Raw genomic sequence first — 25,843 nt, forward strand, 5'->3', positions numbered from 1 at the left:
ACCCACTATATCAAATTTTCATTCGCTTTCTACATTCTAATATACCTATTTCGCACATGGAAAACATTTGCTATGAAATCAAAGAAACATACCATTTTTATTTTATTTATTTGTGAGCTCAGTGTCTCCTAAGGAACATGACTAAAGAACTGAAGAGTCTTTTGTCTTTGTTTTTGTTTTTCCCTCAAGTTTATAAGAATTTTTATAAGGAATTGTATTTTTTTGCTAGGGCTGCCATAACAAAGTATCACAGATTGGTTGACTTCAGCTATAGAAATTTTTCACAATTCTGGAAGCTAGTAGCCTAAGATCAAAGAGTTGGCAGGGCTAGGTTTTTCTGAGGCCTCTCCTGGGCTTAAACATGGCCATCTTTTGCCTGTGTCTTCAGATGGTCTTACCTGGGTGCATGTCTGTGTCCCAGCTTCTTTTGCTTTTTTTTGTTTGTTTGTTTGTTTTTCTGAGATGGAGTCTTGCTCTGTCTTCAGGCTGGAGTACAGTGGCGCAATCTTGGTTCACTGAAACCTCCACCTCCCGGGTTCAAGTGGTTCTCCTGCCTCAGCCTCCTGAGTAGCTGGGATTAAAGGCACCCACCACCATGCCCAGCTATTTTTTGTATTTTTAGTAGAGACGGGATTTTGCCATGTTGGCCAGGTCGGTCTCGAACTCCTGACCTCAGGTTATCCGCCTGCCTCCGCCTCCCAAAGTGCCAACTTCTTCTTATAAGGACACCAGGCATATCAGATTAGGCCCACTCTATCAACCTCATTTCAACAATTACTTCTGTAAAGGCCCTGCCTCCAAATACAGTCACTTTCTGAGGTCCTGGGGGTTAGGACTTCAACATATGCATTTAGGGGGCACACATAATAGGAGTCATTGGTCATAGGAGGCCTTGTGGGTGACAGCAAAATGGAATAAGTTAAGTGAGAAATGGCAGAGGCGACTAGATGAGGAATCAGAGCACCTTTGGCCTCAACATGTTATTTGCTGGTTATGGGACCTTGGGCAACTTTCTTACCCTCTCTGGGTAGCTGATCTTCAAGGTCAAGTGAAGAAAGAAAAAATGAACTAGAAAACTTCTGAGGCATTAGGCAAGTCTATCCATTTGTCTCAGTTGGATAGTAATGCAAGGAGAGGCAGAAGCAACAACATACCACACTGATTCTTTGGCAGCCTGAGAGAGAAGTTTGCTTCCCAAAAGTACCATGAGAAACCGTTCCCTGTTTCTTCCAAATGAACACACCCAGGATCAATACTTTGTGTCTTTTAATCCAATCAAGTTGACACTCAGTATTAACCATCACAAGTCCACCCCTTGTCAATTTGAACCCACACACATCTCCTGAGATCATACATAATCTTCAAATAAAGACAATAATAAGATCATAATTATGGCTAACAGAATACAACTATCCTTCATACAATCAGAAACGCACCGATCCCCAACCCAAATACTATTACATAAAGTTAACAATACTCAAATGCTGACATGAAGTCAACAAATATTAAGTCACATGATAAAGGAAAAGGAAATAAAGTGAAGATATTTTCTTAGTACAAATGTATATATGCACAAACATGTTTTTAACAAAAGAAGGAGGAAATACTCATGACAATTACAGTTCTCATTTCTGCAGCTGGTTATGTGGTTGTAGCTGGTATTAATAACTACCTTCTTCTACTACCCATTCTGTATTCCCTTTGCCTTCAGCAAGCACCTCAGCAGGTCATGGTTTTTTTCCTGGTGGAGGGACCCAAACCTTCATTCCTGAAGGGTCTGGGCCATTTGTAGTCCTGCCTGGATTGAGCTGTTGTAGTTTCCCATTGACCTTAATCACAGGGCATGGTAATACTAATAGATGCCCTAATGGATCTCCTGTATTCCATGCATACTCTTCCTTACCTCTGTTGTGGAGTAGACTGATTTCATCCTGATAGTCTAAGTCGATCACCACAGCCAACACTGTAACTCCCTTCTTAGCCTGTTGACTTAAAGGTAGGAGGAGCCAAAGGTGTCCAGGTGGTAATCCTAACTTGCAGTTTAATGGAATCGTTGTTGTGTCTCCTGGTGGCAGCCTTCCTCCCTCTGGATCTAAGACCTCTAGGCCAGCAGAATGTAATGCTGTGGAAACAGGAAGCAAAATTTTGCTAGTGGATCACTAGAGGTGATGGTGAGTGGTGGCACTTCCACTTCTACCCTTTAATTCCTGGACCCGTGAATCCTGGCTATGGGAGAAACAGTACCATATATTGGACACTGATTCAGAGCACACATAGCCTTCTGGATAACTTAGGCCCAGCCCTGCAAACTATTGTCACCTAGTTGGTGTTGTAATTGTGACTTCAAAAGGCCATTACACCGTTCTATCAATCCAGCTGCTTCAGGATGATGGGGAACATGGTAAGACCAGTGAATTCCATGAGCATGAGCCCACAGTCACACTTCTTTAGTCATAAAGTGAGTGCCTTGGTCATTTTGTGAGTCCACAGATAGTAATCTTGGCAGAAGCATTGCATACATGATAGGCAATCCCATATCTGGAGTAAGTGTCTATTCCAGTGAGGACAAACCTCTGCCCTTTCCATGATGGAAGAGGTCCAATATAATAAACCTGCCACCAGGTAGTTGGCTGATCACCCCGAGGAATGGTGTCATATTGAGGGCTCAGTGTTGGTCTCTGCTGCTGGCAACTGATTAGATCGTGCCCACCCAAATTAAGGGTGGGTCTGCCTTTCCCAGCCCACTGACTCAAGTGTTAATCTCCTTTGGCAATATCCTCACAGACACACCCAGGATCAATACTTTGTACCCTTCAGTCCAATCAAGTTGACACACAGTATTAACCATCACAGATGGCAACCTGTAGGAGCTGCAAGGTGGTTATTTTAGTCACCCTGCTGAAGATGAGGAAGACATGAAACTCAACCAAGGCAGAGAGAGGGGGGCTGTACTGGAAGTAACATTAAATGTACCTTTCCTCAGAGCCTTGGTAGAGGCTGGCTAACCTGAGACACCAAGCCATGCTGATCAGGCCTTAATAAGGGCCCACTCCCTGGCCTCACAAAAGTTTTGATGCTAAGAGTGGATTTTCAGAAATGATGAAAACAGCAGCAGATAAGCCTTGGATGTGGGCACAACATAACTTTCATCTTTGTGTCCTTTTCCTGAAATCCAGACTGCCAGCCTCCCAGCCTTTGCACCTGGAAGCAGACAATAGATGTTTGTTTCTAGTATTGTTGTTTTCTCATATTCATCAATATCTATCTTATAGAAGGTTACCAAGGCAGAAATGCATGTGCCACTTTGTTGTATCTAAGTGATTTCTCATTTTATTTGTCTTTTATGTGTAAATCCAATTAGGGAGAATAGGAAATAGTCCCATTAACTTACTGAACATAGTGTAAAAATAACCTTTTCTGATGTCTTGGAGTTCAGGACAGTGGTCCCAAAGTCTGAGGACAATAAACTAGGTGCCAAATATGCCCATATCTTAAAGGGAGCTGTTGGATCATCTACACAAGACGTGCTGAGTGGCTATAAGGCCAAATCTACCCTCATCATGGCATCCAACAGCCACTTCCAGGCTATCAGTCAGAAGGTAAAGCATTCCTTGGAGGCCAAAGAGCACATAGGGAGGGCGGTTCTGCTGAGAGCTGTCGATCTGCTGCACATGTTCCTCCTCCATGCAGTAACAGACGAGTTCTTCCTGCATACTTTGAGCCAGGTGGGAGGGGGCTCCCAGACAACATCTCACAGAGCCTGGACAGCTGCCTCTTGGTGTTTAAGGAACACTGGGACTGAAACCTGATTCCTACCTGGGTAATCTAGAGGTTGTGGGGTGTGGTGTTCTTGCCAGGGGACACAGTGGTGGGAGGTGACCACAATGGAAACAGCAGCACTTCCAGAATCATATGGGCCAAGGATGCATGTGTCTTTCCCATAGACCAGCTGTGAAATTAGAGGGCTGAGGGCAGTGGGGGTTTAATCACCCATAAACTTGCCCCATGTAGTAAAAATCAACCTCCAACACCTGCCATGTCCAAAGGCACCGGCCTTGGAATGCATAGGCAGCAGTCAGGTTCACCTCAGCCTGCCCACCGCCTTCCTCTCCGCCCTGGTCCTGGGCCAGCCCACCTAGGGGCCAACAGCAAGGCAAAGCAAGATGAACCCCCACCCACACGCCCACATACTCTGCAGGCTTCCCAAACTAAAGTAGGCCCCAGCTGGGTGTAGTGAGTTAAATGGTGCCTGCCCAACACACGTGTTCACACCCTGCCCCCCAGAACCTACCTATGTGACCTTTTCGGAAAAAGGATTTCAGACTTCTCCCCTCCAGAACTGTGAGAGAATACATTTCAGTTGCTTTAAGCCAGCCCATTTGTGGTCATTGGTGATGGCAGCCATTAGACACTAATACACTGAGGAAAGAGAGGGTGCTCTAAACCAGGTACTGTGTAGAGTTTAGATAGCACATTGGATTTCACCTGCAATCATCTAAGCTTTTCTGGAAAAGTAATGGGTGTTGCCTGAGATCCTCTCTGGAGGTAGGAAATGCACTATTCAAGTTTCCCGAGGAGGGCAGGAATGAATCAAGTTGCTTTTTCTCATATCCAGTCAAGTTGTGCTTATTTCATAAACTGGTTTCATTTACTCCAAGGAATGAGTCCCGGGGTGCCCGGCGCTGTTCCTTCTCACTGCCCTTGCTGTCTCTGTGCGGTTAGCTTGGCCAATAGCCCGGAAACTACAGCCATGACTCCACCAGGTCACTGGTGAGTGTTCCTGACCCACGGTGCAGGGCAGTGATTCTAAGCACAGGTTTGGGATGTCGGTGTGCCAACCCCAGCTCCACCCCACTGCTAAAGCTTAAGCTCTCCCCTCCCCCGTTAAGCTGTATGACCTTGAGTTCTTTGTGCCTCACTGTCCTCATCTGTCAAGTGAAAATGCTCCCAGTCCCCACCTCCGGGAGTTGCGTGGGAGGCACACATGAACACCAGGAAAGTGAGTTTATGCAGCCCGGGCCAGGGACTCCGGTCTCTGCCTCTGCCCTAATCCCCACGGCCTGGGGGAACGTGCAGGGCTGAGGAAGCGCAGCCTCTCCTTGGAATCTCAGCGGAAGCTCCTGAGGCCACCGTCCCCCACCCCTCCACAGACTCCCTAAGAGAAGCCCCCCTCTCGGCCCTCAGTTCAAGCAGCTCAGACAAGAGGTAGGGCATCTTGTGCTTAACTTCCCATCACTCTGCTTAGAGAAAATAAAATCTGTTTCCTTACAACTAAGAATAGCCGCCCTGTGTGGGAGGGAGGGGAAGAGTCTGCTGGCATATTGCAAATAGGCCTTCTGAGTTGTGCGAGGTGTCCCGTAGATGCAGAGAGCATGGGGTGCCCTTGGCTCAAGTGAGTTTACAGAAAAGACAGGGAGCGTCCCGGCAGTGCAGTGCAGAGACAACACGGGCCGCGCTATACTGTATCAGGCTGAGAGAGGCTCTGTGACCACGGCTGAAGCGGCCACATCCTGCCATGAGGCATCCTACCTAGTCAAGGAAACAAAAAAGTCCTGATCTGGGTCTCTTCTTTCCCAGAGGATGTTGATCCTGGGCGTGTCGGGTCATTGTGTCTGACGCACTTCTTTTGGCTGGGAATCACCAAATTTCCAAAATCCATGACTCCAACCTTGACCAGCTTTGTTAACAAGCGGGTGTTTCCTTCTGACAGCATCCCCACTCCCAGCCACCAGCCTGCCTGGTGTTCCTTTGGGGTCCCCAGGTGGGAGGCGTGCACCCAGCGTTTGCATCCTCTCCTCTGCTTGTGGAGTTTTGGGGAAAGAAGCTGGTCCTACAGAGGCCCTTCCGGGTCTCCTTCCCCATCTAGAGTTTGCACTTTGGAGCATTAATTTAGCCACAGGGTCCTCATCATATGCCGGAAGGGCTGCCCAGAGGAAAAAGAAGGGGTTTGCGCGGCACCCTGCCATAGTGTTCAGCTGGCAGAGGGGAGTGATTCTGTTTGGCAATGCCATGGGGTACCACCCAGCTGGCCCCTTCAGGACTTTATTCTCTTTACTCCAACTACAGGGAGTGTTGGCTACTGATAGCTCAGAGTTGAGTCCTGCTTCAGGAATTGCCTTCTTCTGAAGGACATGGTCTTGCTTAAGCCTATGCTGTCTTCTGAGGGCAGCCTGCATGCAAAGACTGTTTGATGAGGGGTACAAAGCCCCATCCCCCTTGCCTCAGTTGAGACATCTCTGCAGGGACATTCCAGCTCTAGAGCTCCCTGTAGGACCAACTGAGGCCTCTGTTCCAACCGCATCACAGCTCAGCTTCTCCTTTTGCCCAATTCAGCCCCACTCACTCTCTAGCAGGATTTATTCCCAAAGCACTCCCCAGTGAACCTGTGTGCCAAGTTCAGCATCTCAGAGTCTATTTCTTAGAGACTACAACCTGCCCCAGTGTGGCTACCTGGAGCCTCATTAAACCTCTTTCTGCAGCCAAGTTTCATTCAAGTGAGGATGAAGTATGTCCTACTAGCTGCACCAGAAGGATCTTTTTCTACTTCTGGGCCCGCAAGACTTTAGCAGGGCTGATTTGCGGGGCTGGATCACCTGCTTGGTGCAACGTACAGGCGAGTCCCTTCTGATTGATCTGTATCAGTGGTGTGACTTGGCATCATTCCTGTTTCTTAATGCTTAAGCCTCATTCTTTATGATGGGCTGAGGCCTGTAGGGGCAGCTTCCTGAATTCCCATCACAAATCTGGAGAGCTCAGTCCAGCTATTGTGGTGTCTGAAACGAAGTGCAGAGTCCTGCAAAGTTCACATTCCAAAGTTCCAAGTGTGCTCCAAGATCCAGTCCTACATCCTCAAGGGTTTATATGGAGCCATTCCACCTCCACACCCCACTCTTTTCCCAGACCCATCTCACCTTCCAGCCAGCTGTGAGACCCTGGACACATCATCTTCCTCACTAAGCCTCAGTTTCTTCATTTGCAAAATAGTGCTAATGAAGAACACTCTGTTTCTAAGCACTTTTCAGAATCAACTCATGCAATACCACTGAAGGCTGGAATTCTCTTGAACAACCTGGCTAGCCAGCTACTGATTGACTGCTCTCCTGGACCTTAGCATCTCCTAAGGCCTCCCAGTTTATTGTTGGAAGCTCTAGTTCTTAGGACGTTCTTTCTTGCAACAAACTGGAATTTGCTTCCCTGTACTTCCTACTACTGGCCCTAGTTCTGCCTTCGGAGCTGTCTAGCAAATACATTAAAGCTTTGTTCTATATGGAAATCCATCAAATATCTCTTCCCCTACCCACCACTAAATACTAGGTTTCTCTTCTCAGAGTAGCTTCCCCCAGTCCCTTTTTCACATGAGTTCCAGATTTCCCATCACCCTAGTTGTTTTCCTCTGGGAAATTTCCAGCTTCCTCTTTAAATGCAGGACCTACAATGGAACACAATACTCAAGATGTTCTCTGGATAATAATTTCATTCACGCGTTTGGAATAAAATTCAACCTACAGCAATTTTATTTACATGCATCTTTTCAGGAAGACATGTTTTATATGAAGTATATCATACCTACCCAAAGTTAGTGATTTTCTTAGACTCATAAAGTTTGATTGAGTTAGCAAGCACCTGGCTGCAGGGACAACTAACATGCCTAAATAACAGCGGCTTAAGAAATGAAGATCTTTAATTATCTCACAAAATGAAATGTCTAATCAGAGATTGGTGATCCAGGTTTGATGAGGGGCTCATCACAGAGACTGGCTTTGGTCTACACAGTGGTAAGATGGCTGCTGGACTTATAAGTGGCATATTTTTACATAATCAATTAAAGGCAACAAAAAGAAGGAGGCCTCCTTGCTCTCCCTCCTTTTATCAGGGAGAAAAATTAATTTCCGAGAAGGCTTAGAAATTAACCCAGCTGAATTCCTCACATAACTTATCAGCCATAACTGGCCACACGCCTGCCACTAAACCAATCAGTGGTGAACAGAATTAAAATCATGTACTTGACTAAGACCAATTAGGGTGTATCCTGCCCTCACTGCACCCCATCCCTGACTGGAGATAGGCCCTTATTTCCTGAACATGCTACCTAAACAGGAAGGGACTATGGCTGTGGGCAGACACACAACAATATCTGCCATAATGCATTAGAATGCAAAGTCACTTTTAAGTTTACGTAGCCTAACCACCTTTCCAATGATCAAGTTCCAATGTTCTACTTAAATAAATGAGGACACTATTTTTCAAGAGACTATTAAAAAGTAGATTTTTGGCTGGGCACAGTGGCTCACATCTGTAACCCCAGCACTTTGGGAGGCCGAGGCAGGCGAATCAGCTGAGGTCAGGAGTTCTAGACCAGCCTGGCCAACATGGTGCAACCCCATCTCTACTAAAAATACAAAAATTAGCCAGGCGTGGTGGTGGGTGCCTGTAATCCCAGCTGCTCAGGTGGCTGAGGAGGGAGAATTGCTTGAACCCGGGAGCTGGAGGTTGCAGTGAGCTGAGATTGCGCCACTGCACTCCAACAGAGTGAGGCTGTGTCTCAAAAAAAAAAAAAAAGATTTTTTTGTTTGTTTGTTTGCTTTTTGTTTGTTTGTTTTTGTTTTGAGACAGGGTCTTTCTCCCTCACCCAGACTGGAGTGTAGTAGTGCGATCATAGCTCACTGCAACCTCAACCTCTCAGGTTCAAGCAATTCTCCTGCCTCAGTCTCCCAAAGTGCTGGGACTACAGACGTGAGCCACGCACCTAGCCAGGCAGTTTATTCTTTAAGTTATTCTTTATAATTTAACTCTAATATTTTCTCTATGTTTCTCAGGCCATCTAGAATAAGTGGACTTTCTCTTTCAAAAGTAGTGGCCAGTCCCATTACTGAAAAGCCTTTCCTCCAGGTTGAAACATGCCCAATCCTTTTTCCAGCCTTCATTATACGGTTTTGAGACCTTGCCCAATATTAGCCATTCTCCTGCAAATGTCCTCCAGTTTTTCTTTCTGGTGCCCACCGAATTCCTGTCTCCAGTATGGTTTGACCAGTGTGATATAGAACCTATCACTTCCCTTGTCTTAAGTTAATCTAACTTTAATTACAAAAATTATATATATTCACTGTAAAAATATTTTTTAAATTCTAATGAGCTTTTAAAGAGTTTATCCTCCATCAAATACCTTCTTTGCCCATCTACCCTGTCTACCTGTATCTTCTATTTCATTCTCAACTTCTCATCCATGTTATATCTCCTCAAACCCCACCGTTTAAAGTCAATGCAAGACAGTGTATGTGTTTCCAGAAAGAGTGTTAACCCTAGCTTTCGGAAACCTTCTACAAGACTAGTGGATTTGTATATCTAATTTTTTTCTCCCTTTGACAATTTTAGAATTGCTTTCCCTATTTTAGATATTTTTCTATTAATGCAGCCTGAGATCCCACTGTCTTTTTTTTTTTTCTTCTTTTTTGAGACAGAGTTTTGCTCTGTTGCCCAGGTTGGAGTGCAGTGGCATGATCTCAGCTCACTGCAACCTTCACCTCCCGAGTTCAAGTGATTATCCCACCTCAGCCTCCTGAGTAGCTGGGATTACAGGCACCCACCACCATGCCCAGCTAATTTTTGTATTTTTAGTAGAGATGGGGTTGCACCATGTTGGTCAGGCTGATCTTAAACTCCTGGCCTCAAGTGACCCACCCGCCTCAGCCTCCCAAAGTGCTGGGGTTAGAGGCATAAGCCACCACACCTGGCCCACACTGGCTTTTAAGGCACCACATTTTTTAATCTCCTGCTCCACCTCCCCCCGTCACTTCACTTGATTCAGTTTGAGCTTATCACGGACAAGTTTTGATGTGTGCTGCTACTTAACTGAGTCTCCTACTTCTTGTAGAGTTTATTCAGTTGGCTCTTTGGGCCAAGTATGGGACATTTAATTTATGCCTACAACATTTCATCTTCTTGCATTTGACCCATTGCTAACAAAAAGATCTGCTGCCTCCTCCTTCTGCCTTACTGAGAGGAGTAGAACTGTCAGGCATGGGTACCCATAGGTAGCTTTATCCTCACCTGTTGGGTAGTAACCATTAACTAGGCCTGGAAGCAGAACCACCTACAGTGCAATTCCAGATAGCACCGTTCACATTATAGCCTGTGTAAATAGTGCCCTTTGTGGTCTGCCTGGAAGATGGGATGTATGTGTGTGTGTGCGTGCATGCACATGTGCACACACATGCCCACACACACACACACCCTTACACTTCCATTCTTTTTGTTATGGAGATTTATTGAAAAGGGAAAAGTACACACTCAATAAAAGGGAGTGTGGGTGTACTCAAGAGAGAGACATGCCGTATACCTCTACTCTGTCTGTTGGAAGATGACCTTAAATATCTCACATCAGGTCCTTGATCACTCTGGCCAGAAGTGCTCTTTTTCTTCCTCTGAAGCTGTGAAACTGCTGTTTGTTCTTCAGTTAAGGCAGTCCTAATTGTAGTCACTCTTGCCTTTGTCTTTCAGTATTGGAACCTCTTTGAGGCCAGGTATCTTAGTCAGGTCAGGTTGCCATAACAAATGACTATCTGTTGTTTAAGTCTGGGTGGCTTAAACAACAAATATTTATCTCTCACAGTTCTGGAAGCTGGAGAGTCCAAGATCAAGGCACCATCAGAGTCACCGTAGGTAAAAGCCCGCTTCTTAGTTTGCAGAAACCTGTCTTCATGTTGTATCCTCACAGGGCAGAGAGCAAAGAGGAAAATCCCATGTTTCTGCCTCTTTTTATAAGGACAGAAATCCCATTAATGAGGGTTCCACTGTCATGACCTACTGACCTCCCCACGAAAGCCCCAACTTCAACTACTATCACATTGTGCGTGAGGCTTCAGGATATGAGTTTTGGTGGAACATAAGCATTCAGTCCACAGCAACGGGGTTAGATCCTACAAGCTTTTGTGTCCCTGGTACACCTCATAGGATGCCTTTCCTTTTTTATTTTATTTTACCTTTTTTTGAAATGGGGTCTGGCTCCGTCGCCCAGGCTGGAGTGCAGTGGCACAATCATGGCTCCCTGCAGGCTCAACCTCCCTGGCTCAAGTGATCCTCTCACCTCAGCATCCAGAGTAGCTGGAACCACGAGTAAGTGACACCATCCTCAGTTCATGTTTTGATTTTTAGTAGAGACAGTGTTTCACTGTGTTACCCAGGCTGGCCTCAAACTCCTGAGCTCAAGCGATTCTCCCACCTCAGCCTCCCAAAGTGCTAGAATTACAGGCATGAGCTACCGCACCTAGCAGGATGCCTTTCCTGTAGTTGGCCCTCAGAACAAGGAAGACGTAGGTCTGAGCAGCCTGGTAGTGGTGTTTCAAATCCCATAGCTTGATGATTTCAGCACCCTTTAGGATTTATTCAAAGTAGAGTTAAATTCCAAGCCCACAAACAGTGGGAAGAGAGGAAGGGCGGTAGATGGTAAAAAAGGCTAACAGTTGCTGGTTCCTCCCAGTGTGTCTCTGAGGACACTTCTTTTCCCCATGGGATGATTAATACAAGGGTGTATATTCAGAAAACTTTTTCTGAAGGTTTAATGCAACCAGGGTGGGGAGTTACATCATAGTCTCACATAGCCAACTTTAAATGGAATATCAGCCGTGCCTCTTCTTAAAAGACCCATGGCCAAGCCCACCAACCAGGGACATCTCAGGGTAGCCTCTCTGAATAGCATCTGGGCCTCTCTCATCACACTGTGCTCCTTCTTCCCTGCCCCTTGGCAACATCTAAGCAGAATTTCTTATTCTCAGTCATGCCAAAAAATTCAGCAACCTCCAGCCTCTTCCTAAACCTAAACTTCAGCACATAACTGTGCTGTCAGTGAAATACTTTGCTGACCAGGCCATTTGATCCAGGACTCCACCCCAAAGCATCACAGCAGACGTTTGAAATTATAGTTCTCTCTTTTTCATAGACCAGTTCGAATTCCTAGGCTGGGATGACCTCTCTAGCTCTCCCTTCTTCTCCACACAAAAAAGAGGCAAAAGGAAGTGCACATTTCCACTTCACAGACTTATTGGTTGATTAATGAAGATGGGCTTTTCAAGCAGTCTGCCTTCTGGGATTGATTTCACTTTACCAAGAGATAATGGCCCATGGGACCCTCTCACTCTTTCTTAATCTGAGTGGGCTGGTTTTCCATGAGGTTTAATCAGAGAAAAAGGAAATGAGCTCATGCAAAGCTAAACCCCCCTAAAGCCTCAGATTCTTATGTTTTTGAGTCATCTGTGCAATACTTCCCTTCACTTCACTGGAAAGCAGAGAACAGAGAGAAAGAAGGTGTATTGATTTCCCAGGGCTGCCGTTACAAACTATTGCAGACTGGGTGGCTCAAAACAACAGAAATTTATTTTCTTACAGATCCAGAGGCCAGAGACCCAAACCAAGATGTCAGCAAGGTTGATTCCTTCTGGGGGCTCTGAAGGAGAATCTGCTGCATGCCTTTCTCCACTGCCTGGTGGTTTGCTGGCTGTCCATGGCATTCCTGGGCTTGTAGATCCCTCATTCCAATCTCTGCCCTTGTCTTCACATGCCCTTCTCCCCTGTGTGTCTACGTTCAAATTTCCTTCTTATAAGGACACATGCGAGATTGGTCAAGTGTGACCTCATCTTAACCAATTACATTGTCAAAGACCCTATTTCCAAATAGAGTCTGTTTCCATTCTGAGGTTCTGGGTAGACGTAAATTTTCAGGTATACTATTCAACCCGCCACAGACAAGAAATGGTGTGTCTGCACAATTGGGCGGCTGCAGAAGTCTTCTCTTCTTTCTTACCTGCCAGTGCTCATCCTAAACATGCATTTAAAAAGCAATAGAGCAGGCTGGGTGCAGTGTGGCTGAGGCCTGTAATCCTAGCACTCTGAAGGAGGCTGAGGCAGGCCAATCACTTGAGGTCAGGAGTTTGAGACCAGCCTGGCCAACATGGTGAAACCCCGTCTCTACTTCAAATACAAAAATTAGCTGGGCGTGGTGGCATGTGCCTGTAATCCCAGCTACTCAGGAGGCTGGGGCAGGAGAATTGCTGGAATTTGGGAGGTGGAGGTTGCAGAAAGCCAAGATCATGCCACTGCACTCCAGCCTGGGCAACAGAGCAAGACTCTGCCTCAAAAAAAAAAAAAAAAAAAGAACGAAAGAAAGAAAGAAAAAAGAAAATGCAATAGAGCAGACTGGTTTAGACTCTGGGCTCTCAGTCACGGCATCTGTGTGCACAACTCAGCCCTGCCTCTCACCTATGTGAGGTTTTACTCCTCTTTTGCTTCTATCTCCCCATCTACAAAATAGGGATAAAGAGAGTCCCAACTTCAAAGTCTTGTTGTGAATATTATGTATATTAATCAGTGTGGAGTGCTTGGAACAGTTCCCGGCACATAATTTGTGCTCAATAAATGTTACCAGCTGCCTATATTTTCTGAGTACCTTTTTTTGCAGGAGCCATTGGAGGTACTAGGGATATGAAACAATTAACCAAAACTTTTGCCCCAAAGGTTGAATAGTGCAGACTTTAACAAGGTAAGTGGCAATATAAATGTGTACATGCAAATACTAAGTGACAGGTGGCTCTTCTGGTTATTGTGTGCCGGTAAATTGGGAAGAAAGACAGCCTGTATATTGGCAGCCTGTGGCATCCCCACTTCTTGGAGCATAATTCATTGAACCTCTTTCTACAAGGAGCAATGCTCTTTAGGTCTTGACTGGGACAAACAACATATAACATTTGTACACAACTTAGCAAGTGCTTTGCTGTGGTTTGAATGTGTTCCCCCAAAGTTCATGTGTGGAAACTTAATCCCCAATGCAATGGTGTTGAGAGGTGAGACCTTCAAGAGGTAATTAGGTCCTGAGGGCTCCGCTCTCCTGAATGGATTGGGGTCATTATTGTGGGAGTGGGTTAACTAGGGCAGAAGCGGGCTCCTGATAAAAGGATGCTCTTGGCCCCCTTCCCTTCTTGCTCCCTCTCGCCTTCTCTTTGCCCTTCGGCTGTGGCATGACAGCAAGAAGGGCCTCATCAAATGCAGCCCCTTGATCCTGGACTTCCCAGACTCCAGAACCATGAGCCTAATACATTTCTGTGTATTATAAATTATCCAGTCTGCAGTATTCTGTTATAGCAATACAAAAGAACAAAAATATGCCTGCCTACAGATCATCTCAGGCAGTCCTCACAATGACTTCATGATACAGGTGGTGCTAGGTCTATTTTGAAACTAGAGAAAAATGAGATTCAGAGAGGTTACTAACTGATTTCTCCAAGGTCACCTAGCAGATCCAGGTCTCAAATCCAGCACTCTTTGCCTGATGCAACTAACTGACTACTTAGATGGGCACACTTGGGGGTCAATTAACTAAACAACTGCACTAAAGAAGGATATGTCATGGGGCCCCAGGAAGGCTGCATCTCCTGATGATGACAACGACAACTTCGAGGATGATGTTGTGCCTCAGTTTGTGTCTGCTTTGGGATTTTAAAAGTGGTTTGAGGCCAGGTGTGGTGGCTCACGCCTGTAATCCCAGAACTTTGGGAGGCCAAGGTGGGCGGATCACCTGAGGTCAGGAGTTCAAGACCAGCCTGGCCAACATGGTGAAACCCCGTCTCTACTAAAAATTCAAAAATTAGCTGGGCATGGTGGCGTGTGTCTGTAATCCCAGCTACTCAGGAGGCTGAGGCAGGAGAATTGCTTAAACTCAGGAGGTGGAAGTTGCAGTGAGATCGCGCCACTGCACTGAAGCCTGGGCAACAGAGCAACACTCTGTCTCAAAAAAAAGAAAAAAAAAAAAGAAAAAAGAAAAGAAAAGTGGTTTGAGAGTTGCTGAGAAAGCTTTAAAACTAGGTTTCAACCTGGACTTGGTTGTTCACCTTGTTATTGAATAAAAAGTGGCTGTCTTATTGAATAAACCATTGAATTCTGAGTGCATCCTGGCAGTGGGAAAAGGGAATGCTAATCACCTTGCCAGTCTTTATGTTACAGAGGTGTTTTTGAAAAGTCAAATGCAAATGATTTTGAATATCAGATTATCTTCTCAAGAAACTCTTCCTTCAGGTTTGAGGACCAACATTTCTTAAAATTTTAACTTGGCCAGGCACGGTGGCTCATGCCTGTAATCCCAGCACTTTGGGAGACCGAGGCAGGCAGATCGCTTGAGCCCCGGAGTTTAAGACCAGTCTGACCAACATGGTGAAACCCATCTCTACTAAAAATACAAAAATTAGCTGGGCATGGTGGCACATGCCTGTAAACCCAACATTTTGGGAGGCTGAGGTGGGAGGATCACTTGAGCTCAGGAGGTGGAGGTTGCAGTGAGCCAAGATCACACCACTGTACTCCAGCCTAAGCACCTGAGCAAGACTGTCTAAAAAGAAATTAACTTTAAACTGCTTCATATTCAGCCTTCCTAATCATTCACGATATATAAACAAGCTTGTAAAAGTAAAAGGGCCTCTGCTGTTGACTTAAAAGAGGGTTGTTGTATAAGTATAAAAATCTTTCCATAATCACTAACTCTGATTATAGTCCAAATTCCAGCTCCTTCACTTGAACTATTTGTGTATAACATTCTCCCTTATCTACAAAATAGGAATAATAATATCTACTTCTTAGATATTAAACCAAGGATTCAACAAGGTAATATAAAAAGACTTAGAATACTGCTGGACCCTTTATTAGTGGTGAACCAACTATTATATTTTATTACAGGTGGTGGAAACAGTAGCTGTAGTGCACTGTTTCATAAGGTCCTGGGGTTTTCTAAAGGGAGGCAATGTGTGGTCTTCTCTCCAACCCTTTTCCTGCCACCAGCATGGTTGGCATGAGCAAGTTGCCTTGGTAACCTGAGAGCAACAGTTGTTGACTTCAGGACTTCTACATACAGCAGAACGCTGCCTGGTTCTATTCCCTTCCCTGGGAGCATTTATAGGACTTGGAATCACGTGGTCTGCACACCTGACTTGATGAACTACTTGTTTAAAGAGCTGGAAAAACCCAAAACAATAAGGAGAGCAAAAGCAATGTGAGAAGAAAGCTGCCTCAGGTACGGGCCTTTTGCTCTCTGAGGTTGTTTGGCTATCACTTCCTCCACATGCACATAGGAGTAACAACCTAATGAAATGCTCAGAAGGCTGCCAACACCCATCTCCAAGGCTCTGGAGGTGACTTCAATGAGACCCACTTAAGGAGCCCCACAGGCTCTCCTGAACACTATGCAGATTGGCTAATGAAATCCATCACCCCTCTTCTTTGACAGCTTCTTAATTAACCATCCTTTTAGTAAATCCAGCTGTGTACAATGCATAAGCCATGGGCACATTTCAATGAACTTTAAATAATGATTTTTATAAAATTGGTGAAAAAAAATTAAATGAAAACCCTCTGCCTAAGCCTTTTATCTGCAGCAATTAGCAAACATTACCCCAAGTTGCCTGTCTAATTTATAAGGTCTTGAGGACCTGATCTTTTTTCTGTCCCCACTAGGATTGCACAGATAGGTTTTAACTTCTGCAGAGAGGTTCTTAACTTAGGGACCAATAGACCCACAAGTGTTCCAAAGAGAGAATTCAGCAAGTCCATGAAGTTGGATGGAAAAAGATTACAACTTTATTTTTGCCAGCCTCAAATGGATATTTAGCATTTCTTTCAATTCAAAAGGCTGTCAGCAAACTACAATTCTGTACTTACAGCAGTCCCTACTTTTTTACTAGTAAAAATCAGATATTTTCATATCAAATAATAATTGTTGCAGATACCTTGAAATAGCATTTACTAATAGCACTACTTCTAAATTAAAATAATCAATAGAACTGCCACTAGGTCTTATTTAATGCATTAGGAAAAAAAGCACATACATTATTATATCACAAATGTGTACTTTAAGCATTTTGATAACTGTATTTTAATATTACTACAGTCTGCTGTGGAATTCTATGAATTTTATTTTATGCATTTTAAAATATTCCTCTGAGAAAGGTTCCACTGGCTTCACCAGGCTGCTGGGGGTTCCCATGGCATGAATAAAGTTAAAAACCCTGGAGCAAGGGGCCCAATTCCTGGCCCTCCTGCTGATCAATAGCACACCCTTCTTCTGTCATCCTCATCTTCCACTCTTTTTTGTCCTTCTAGTTACCCCCACCTCCTTCCCAGCCCTAGGCACTGCGTTGCATTTCATTTCTGATAACTCTTCCTAAAGTATGAACTAAAAGCATAAGGCTGGGCTCTCATGCCTGTAATCTCAGCACTTTGGGAGGTGGAGGTGGGAGGATTACTTCAGCCCAGGAGTTCAAGACCAGCCTGGGCAACATAGGGAGATGCTCATTGCTACGAATAATTTTTTTAAAAAATCAGCCAGGTGTGGCAGCATACATCTGTGGTCCCAACTATTCAGGAGGCTGAGGCAGGAGAATCGCTTGAACCTGGGAGACAGAGGTTGCAGTGAACCAAGATCACACCGATGCACTCCAGCCTGGGCAACAGAAGCAAAACTCCGTCTCAAAAAAAAAAAAGCCACTTACACTTATATGTCCTATGGTTGCATAGGCACCCCTGATTCCCTTCTCCCATAAGAGCTTGTGGGGGCCTCCCACTCCCTGCTCACTGTGAGAAGCGCATCGCCCTGCCAGAGGCCCCTGTGCCACCATGGAGCTTCAGCGGGGCGGGTTCACCGTGGTGCATTACAGAGTTTTCCTAAAATGACACCCTCCATCCTGTGGTTGATACTGTGGTTTGGAGATTTTTAATGAGCCCATAAACTATCTTTATAGTTGTCCTTGTTTGTTTTTAAAACATTGGAGTTATCAGCAGGATCCTGAGTCTCATTTCACTCTTCAAGCAGATTCTATTTTTGGCTTGGCAAACTTTGAGAGTGGAAGCCTTTTCCACGAAGAAGAAATGGAGCCAAAAAGAAATGGCTTCCTAAAAAAGCTTCATGTGCTTCTGGAAGAAAAATGATGTAGGAGGTGGAAGTCCAACCTAGAAATAGAACAGAGGCCAGAGGCAGGAGTCCTCCTCATGGGAGCATGACCTGTGGTAGCTCTGGGCTGGGCCTGCAGAAGGCGCCATGCCTGGTGAATGCCCTGCTCCCGCCATCTTGAGATGAGATGCTTCTCAAGTGTGGAAGAATCAGTTCTGCATTTTCATTTTGTACTGGACCCCACAGATTATGTAGCTGGTGCTGGCCAGCTGGGCTGTGTTGTGAGTAATACCTCCTTGTGTTCTCAGAGGATAAGAAGGGAGCTCAGTGGGGGGAAATGGCACCTAAGTTGTAAGGGTGCGTGAAGGCTTATTTTAAACCTCAACTCGACTGAAACATGCGGTGTCCAGATTAAATATTATTTCTGGGTGTGTCTGTGAGGGTGTCTCTGGATGAGATTAGCATTGAATCAGTGGACTGAGTAAAGCAGACCGCCCTCCCCAGTATGGGAAGACATCCTCCAGTCTATTGAAGGTCTAAGTAGAAAGCGAAGGTGCTGGAAGAGGGTATTTGCTCTCTCTGCTTGACTGCTTGAATGGGAATGTTAATCTTCTCCTGCCCTTGACTGGGACATGTACCATCAGCCCTCTGGCTCTCAGAACTTGACCACCAGCTTTCCCGGGTCTCCAGCTTTAAGATGACAGACCGTGGGACTTCTCAGCCTCCACAATTGTGTGAGCCGATGCTTCAAAATGAATCATATACATTAGATTTTATTTTATTTTTTTTTGAGATGGAGTCTGGCTCAGTCACCCAGGCTGGAGTGCAATGGCGCAATCTCAGCTCACCACAACTCCGTCTCCCGGATTCAGGCGATTCTTCTGCCTCAGCCTCGCAAGTAGCTGGGATTACAGGCACCTGCCACCACACCCAGCTAATTTTTTGTGTTTTCAGTAGAGATGGGGTTTCCCCATGTTGGCCAGGCTGGTCTTGAACTCCTGACCTCAGGTGATCTGCCCACCTCGTCCTCCCAAAGTATTGGGATTACAGGCGTGAGCCACCGCACGCAGGTTCCATTTTAAACTGATTGGATCTCCCCTGGGAGAGCAAATCTGACCTAGAGCAAAGGCCTTGTTCAGCCTGGGGTGTCCTGTTGGGTCCAAGCATTCATGAAGCTACATCTTTCAGACCCTTAGGTCTCAGGAGCCTCCTTAGAGAACCCAGAATTAGAGTGTGCCCATGAACTGTATTCATTTGCTACCACTGCTATAACAAAGTACCATAAACTTGGTGGCTTAAAACAACACAAGCTTACTCTCTTACAATTCTGGATACCAGAAGTCTGAACTCATCCTTATAGGCCTAAAATCAAGGGATCTGGAGGCCCCAGGAGAGAACCTGTTTCTTGCCCCTTCCAGCTTCTCATGGGTGCCAAGAATCCTCGGCTCATGACCTCATTACTCCCATCTCTGCCTCTGTGGTCATTTTGTCTCCTCATCTGTGTTAAAGCTCCATCTGCCTCCCTCTTATAAAGACACTGACAACCACATTTGAGGCCCACCAGGAAAATCTCTCCATCCCAAGGTCCTTAACTTAGTTGTATCTGCAGAGTCCCCCTTGCCACATAAGGTAACATTCACAAGTTCCAGGGATTCAAGCATGCATGTCTTCGGTGGCCATCACTCAGGCTACCATAGGAGCTGTTGTGAAAGTTTGTGCTCAGCCAAGAAGCCCAGTGTCTTCCTGCAGCCCCAGGCCACTCCAGCACTTCCCTCACTGCTCTCCACTCTGGGCCTGAACTTCCAGAAGGCTCCCTGAAGCAGATCCACACCTCTGCAGCACCACTTCCCCAACCTTACCAAAGTGTGCCTGTGAACAGATGCTGCAAGAGGAGAAAGGAGAGGGGGAGGAAGGAGAAGGAGAAAGGGTAAAGGGAGGGAGGGTCACTCCAACCTTGCCTGCTGGTTAATGCAATAAACTGAATTGGACCAAGATGTCGATCACCTCTAATGATGGCATACATACTCTTAATACTTAATTTGACTCAAAGAAGAGACTAATAAAATAATTCCAGGCCCTGGAGAGGTCCACAGGGAAGACACTTTTGTTCAGGCACTGAAAAATAAACTATATCCATTTACCAGTAGGCTGGTCTGACCACTGGAACCAATGAACGACAGCAGTTCAGGCATTTTATAAACCCAGAGCACTGGCCAGGGATGAGCTCTGCAGCAATGGGTTTGCCTCTGTTTAGCCTCAGAACCTGGCTGACAACAGAACAGGGCCTGCGGGAAAACAAGGACAGGTGGCCAGTTATCCAAAGGGCTTCCTGCTCCACCATCTCCTACTCTCTCTGGACAGTTCATACACCAGAGAAAATGGCCTAAATATACGAACCAGATGATATGAGTCCCTTGGGAATGGGACTCATAAATACCACTCTGGGTGGAATTTAGCACAAATGGGATGGTGTGCAGAGCCATCCCTGAGCTCCCGTGAAGTGAGTGGAGTCGTCCTCTTTGTTATTCTCCCCTAAAGGCCCCTTCTGTCTTTACCCTGCCTCATAAAACTCCCCACACATTCAGCCCCCAGGGCCTGACACTGTTTCTGTCTTTGCGGCCCTGTCAGCAAGGGTTCAGGGGATAGTGGAGGAACATAAACACTTTTTTTTTAAAGAGAAGGTCCCACTCTTTTGCCCAGGTTGGAGTGCAGTGGAGCAATCATGGCTCACTGCAGCCTTGACATCCCATGCTCAAGTGATCTTCCCACATCAGGTCCCCCAAGTAGCTGGGACCACAGGCATACAACATTATGCCTGGCTAGTTGCTTTTCTTTTAATTTTTTTGTAGAGACAGTGTTTCCCTACGTTGCCCAGGCTGGTCTCACACCCCTGGGCTCAAGCAATCCTCCCTCCTCAGCCTCACAAAGTATCGGGATTACAGGCATGAGCTTGCTATTCCTGGCCCTAAACACATTTTTTTTTTTTTTTGAGACGGAGTCTCGCTCTGTCACCCAGGCTGGAGGGCAATGGTGTGATCTCGGCTCACTGCAACCTCCACCTCCAGGGTTCAAGTAATTCTCCTCCCTCAGCCTCCTGAGTAGCTGGGATTACAGGCGTCTGCCACCACATCCAGCTAATTTTTGTATTTTTAGTAGAGACAGGGTTTTGCCATGTTGGCCAGGCTGGTCTTGAACTCCTGACCTCAGGTGATCACCTGCTTCAGCCTCCCAAAGTGCTAGGATTACAGGCGTGGGCCACTGCGTCCAGCCCTAAACACATTTTTAAAAGAAAATATGAATAACGTGCTAAAAACCAAATGGGTGATGCACATAATTTGTGTTGAAATTCAGAAGGGAAAGAACTTTGTGAAGGAGGTGATGCTTGGATTTGGCCTTGAACCCGTGAGCCAGGCACAGGCAAGCAGAGGATAAGGCCAGTGAGTGGGAAAACTCACGGAAGAATTAAGAAAAGCCACATGAGAGAGTCATAGAAAGGCCACGGGCTGGGGTCAGGGACATCTGTGATGCACCCATTAGAGCTATAGTCTGGTCCAGAGGGGACAGGGCCTAAGCTAAGGTGATGATGATAATGAAGGGCAAAGCCTGGTAATGGAGTTAATGTGGCCAAAGAGAGTTAGTGCTCCACCCACCCAGCCCCAGTGTGGACTCCTGGCCTTCCCCATCTAAATGCTACCACTCTCCCCATAGCCAGGAAGCCCCACAATTCTTTTATCTTTTGCTCAGAGCCCCATAGCTAAACACTATTGACTTTAATTTTCAAATATATGTCCAATCAGATCAGTTCTAACCACCTTCATTGGCACCTCTCCAGTTCGACACCATCTCTTGTCCAAGTTACTGAAACAGCCTCATGGCTGCCCTTCCTTTAAGCATTTTGCTGTATTACAATTCATTCTCCACACAGCTGCATAAATACAGGCAAGCCACGCCCCTGCTTAAAGCCCTCCAAGGCTTCCCGCAGCATCGCAGCATCGGGAATTAGATCCAAACACATTACCAGGGACAAAAGGCCCTCCTTGTCCTGCTCTGCTTTGCTGTCTGACTTTGTAAAACCATCCCAGAGATGAAGTGGCTCTACTCCGAAATGGTACCAATTGTCCTAACTCCTGGTAGACGTTTCCTATGTGCCAAGGATTCTTCTAGGTTCTTCATAAGTAGTAAATCATTTGATTGCCCCTCCTCCCCCTAAATAACACTAGGAGTTAAATCCTATGGTCCCTATCTTACTGATGAAAAAATTGGAACACAGAAATCTTACATAAGCGGCCGGACTGGGGTGAGACCCCTGACTCCCCCATTATGCTATACCCTTCCCCATCTCCTGTGGCCAGTGGAAGTGATGATGCAGTTTTGTAAGAAGGAAAACTGTGGCTGTGCTGGAAAGTGAGAAAGGCATGTGTATCCATGCATACACATACATACCTTTAAATATGTGACATGTTCAAACACACGTAGGAAAGAGTGTAAAAGGATATCAACAAAATGTTAACAGTGATTATCTCTGGAAATGAGAGAATGGGTGCTTTCTATTGTATTTTCCTGAATTTACACCTTTTCTAAAAAAATTTCTAAACATAAAATAGGTATTGCTTAAATGTCATCCTTTTTTAGTGAGGCTTCCCTGAAGACCTTTACATCCCCCTTACATGCTCCCTCCCTCATTTCTGCTTGACTGTTCTCCACAGCACATACCTTCATTCAATATACTATACATTTTACTTATTGTAGTGGTTTTATGCCTCCCTTTTAGAATATAAATACCATAAGTAGGGAATTATCACCTGTTTTGTTCATTCCTGTATCCTTAGACCCTAGAATAGGAAATTCATAGTAAGCACTCAATCTGTTGAATAAATAAATGAAATCAATGAATTAAAAGAAAAAGTAGGTCATTTTTAGGAGCACATATCATAGGCAACCTCTTCACCTAAGGCTGACCCAGAACAGAGGCTGGCACTCCTGTGGGTCACATGTTCCCACTAGTTTGGGAAAAAGTGTTTGCTATCTCAGCATCATGCTCCCCTCATCTGCCACCCTCACAAGGAAGATCACTACCATTGGGCAGCCAGCCATTGTTCTAGTTGCCTACGATGCTACCTGCTCTTCTTGTCTTTACTCTGTTTGTACAAAGCCTACACTCCCTGGAAATTTCACTCACGGCTAGTTCTGTGTTAACTTTGCTTACTCCATTTGTGGAAGTGGTCCAGCTCTCTTCCCAGCCATGGATAGAACAGCTGGTGGGGACAGCTTAAACAAAGTCAGGTGCTAACTGCTTCCCGCCCAGTAGCTGGTGTTCAAAGACTTAGCTCAGCCCTTGGCCCCAAGACTCTGCTGTGCAATTTGCACACCTCCCTCAAGAGGCTTGGGAGAGAAATACAGTCCCCATAGCCATCCCCTTAGAGACAGACTGAGAGCCGAAATTCCCTTCTTGCAAAAGAATTTGGGGACAGTCCTGGCCCCATCAGCTGAACAGACAGTTTGGTTTTATAAAACAACTTGGGGGAAAACTAGATAACTCTTATTTTTTGATTTCCTGGGAAAATAATGTGATTATTTTGTGTATAAGTGTTTTTAATTTGACTTTTTAAACTATTAAAATATTATTGCATGCCCCTGTAGTCCCAGTTGCTCGGGAGACTGAGGTGGGAAGACCACTTAAGCCCCAGAGGTCGAGGCTGCAGTGAGCCATGATCATGCCACTGCACTCCAGCCTGGGCAAGACAGAGACAGGCTCTGCCTTGAAAAAAAATGCTCTAAGCAGAAATGGGCAAGGGGAAGCTTTCCACCCAGTATTTGATGAGAATCACTAATCTAGCAGTCCTCCTGTTGTTGGATACTTGAGCTGCCTCTAATGGCTCACCAATATAAATAAGGCAACAACAAACATCTTCAAATATATAGTTTTTTATCTTTGGAATTCCTTCTTGAACTTGACCCTTCTACCTGTTGGTTTTAGCTAGTATACACCCAGCATCTGGTAGAAAACACTTTTATGTTATATTAGGCTGAAAACCTGGGAATCCTATGATTTGTGTGGGCCACACCCTTGTTTCTGTAAGAACTGTTGTGTTTTCACAGGAAATGTTAGTAATACAAGTGGTGTTAAGCAGTGAATAGATGTTCATTTACTAAAACAGGAAGAACCAAAGTAGTGTTGAGAGGCAGAATCCAGACAACAGGAAACAGTCACAAGATGCAGAAGGTTCTGTGAGTTCTGAGGGTCTGTGCAAATTTGACTCTGTAATAAGGTAGATGGGCAAAAAGTGGAAATATCAGGTCTGAGACATGAATGCAAGAAAGATCCTGTGGACAAAGAGTCTAGTATAGTGATTAACAAATATGGGTTCGGAGTCACACATATGTTCAATTTCCAGTTCTACAGATTAGGTGTGTGACCTTGAAAAAGTCGCCTAAACTCTCCAAGCCTTGGTTTCTTATCTCTAAAATGGAAATTGTAAATGATACTACATTGACAGGGCTCTTATGCCCTCAAACTTCCCTTCGGGCTTGGCCAATACAGAGCCCCAGCTGATGAGAGGAAGGAAAGAGAAGGAGGTCAAAGTATATATTCTATAAGGTACCTCCTTGTGAGGTTGTGGCTGTGTCCCTCAACAAGAAAGCAGCACTCCTTTTCAAGTGGCGTGCTCTACAATACTCCTTTTCCCTTCAGGTTTCAACAACCTCTTCTTCTCCTTATCTCTTTGGCCCTAGAGATAGCATCTTAGTTCATCTTCTGTAATTTATAACAGAATACCTGGAACTGGGTAATTTATAAGAAACAGTTTATTTCTCATAGCTTAGGGAAGTCCAAGGTTGAGAGGGCCATCTGGTGAGAACCTTCTTTCTGGTGGGGACTCTCCGCAAAGTCCCAAGGTGGTGCAGGGCATCATATAGTTGGGGGGCTGAGTGGGTGAACTCAGGTCTCTCTTCCTCTCCTTATAAAGCTCACTCCATGACAACCCATTAATCTCTGAATGGATTTATCCATTCAGGAGGGGAGAGCCCTTAGGACCCTTAAAGGTCTCATCTGTCAATAATGACACATTGGGGATTAAATTTCAACTTGAATGTTGGAGGAGACAATTATCAAAACCACAGCAGATGGTAACCACTCTGAAGTCCCCTGTGGTTCCCCTATTCTCCCCCATCTTTGTAATTTAGCTCTTAGTAAATCAACCCTGCTCAAATTATTCTACTTTGAGTGTGCTGTCTGATTTCCATTGGGACCCACACCAATACAGTATCCTTCCCCTGCTGTTTTATCTATTACATTCCTTAGGCCCTCTGGCTTCCAGATGGATTCAGTCAATAAGGACCCTGGATGGTGGAAGGTGGGGACTTGCAGGCATGTCTGTTTTCAGTGATGTCTCCTGTGGTTCCAGCTTTGAACAGTGACTGGCCCCTGGGCTTCAATAACACAGCCCGTTCCCTTTTGCTCTCTGCTGTTGCTGATCTCAGCTGCCTCACCATTGCTGTCTGGGTTCTCTCCTCTTCCTTCACCTGCATAACCAATTCCCTGGATTAAATTTCCTTTGGTTAAAATACTTAGAAGAAGTTTGGTTGCCTTGGTTGGACCCTGACTGATATATTCTCTAAGTCGCAGTTTCCTCATCTGTAAAACAAATCTAACAAATAATACCTATCACCAAAGGATAATGTGAGAATATTAATGTAGGAAAAACCCATGATAACTGCTCAATAGATATTAACCATTAGTAGTCTTTTCAGAGCTTCTGGTGGTCCTTGGGATAAAGTCCATCCTCTGTAATATGATTTATAAAATATGGCTCCTGGTGGGGTGTGGTGGCTCATGCCTGTAATCCCAGCACTTTGGGAGACCGAGGCAGGTGGATCACCTGAGGCCAGGAGTTCAAGACCAGCCTGGCCAACATGGTGAAATCC

The 25,843-nt window shown here is 45.4% G+C and overlaps 2 annotated features.

Annotated features, from left to right (window-relative positions):
- Positions 4,633 to 5,603: an enhancer, noted in NCBI's record as "H3K4me1 hESC enhancer chr5:34564051-34565021 (GRCh37/hg19 assembly coordinates)". NCBI's record gives its function as "activates a minimal SCP1, AML or CMV promoter by ChIP-STARR-seq in naive H9 embryonic stem cells {active_cell/tissue: H9 hESC(naive)}" and the evidence as "EXISTENCE:reporter gene assay evidence [ECO:0000049][PMID:30033119]".
- Positions 5,586 to 5,800: a silencer, noted in NCBI's record as "fragment chr5:34565004-34565218 (GRCh37/hg19 assembly coordinates)". NCBI's record gives its function as "represses an EF-1alpha promoter that drives an FKBP-Casp9 reporter gene in an ReSE screen in HepG2 liver carcinoma cells {active_cell/tissue: HepG2}" and the evidence as "EXISTENCE:reporter gene assay evidence [ECO:0000049][PMID:32094911]".

The sequence above is a fragment of the Homo sapiens genome, chromosome 5, assembly GCF_000001405.40.
Source record: "Homo sapiens chromosome 5, GRCh38.p14 Primary Assembly".
Lineage (NCBI taxonomy): Eukaryota > Metazoa > Chordata > Mammalia > Primates > Hominidae > Homo > Homo sapiens.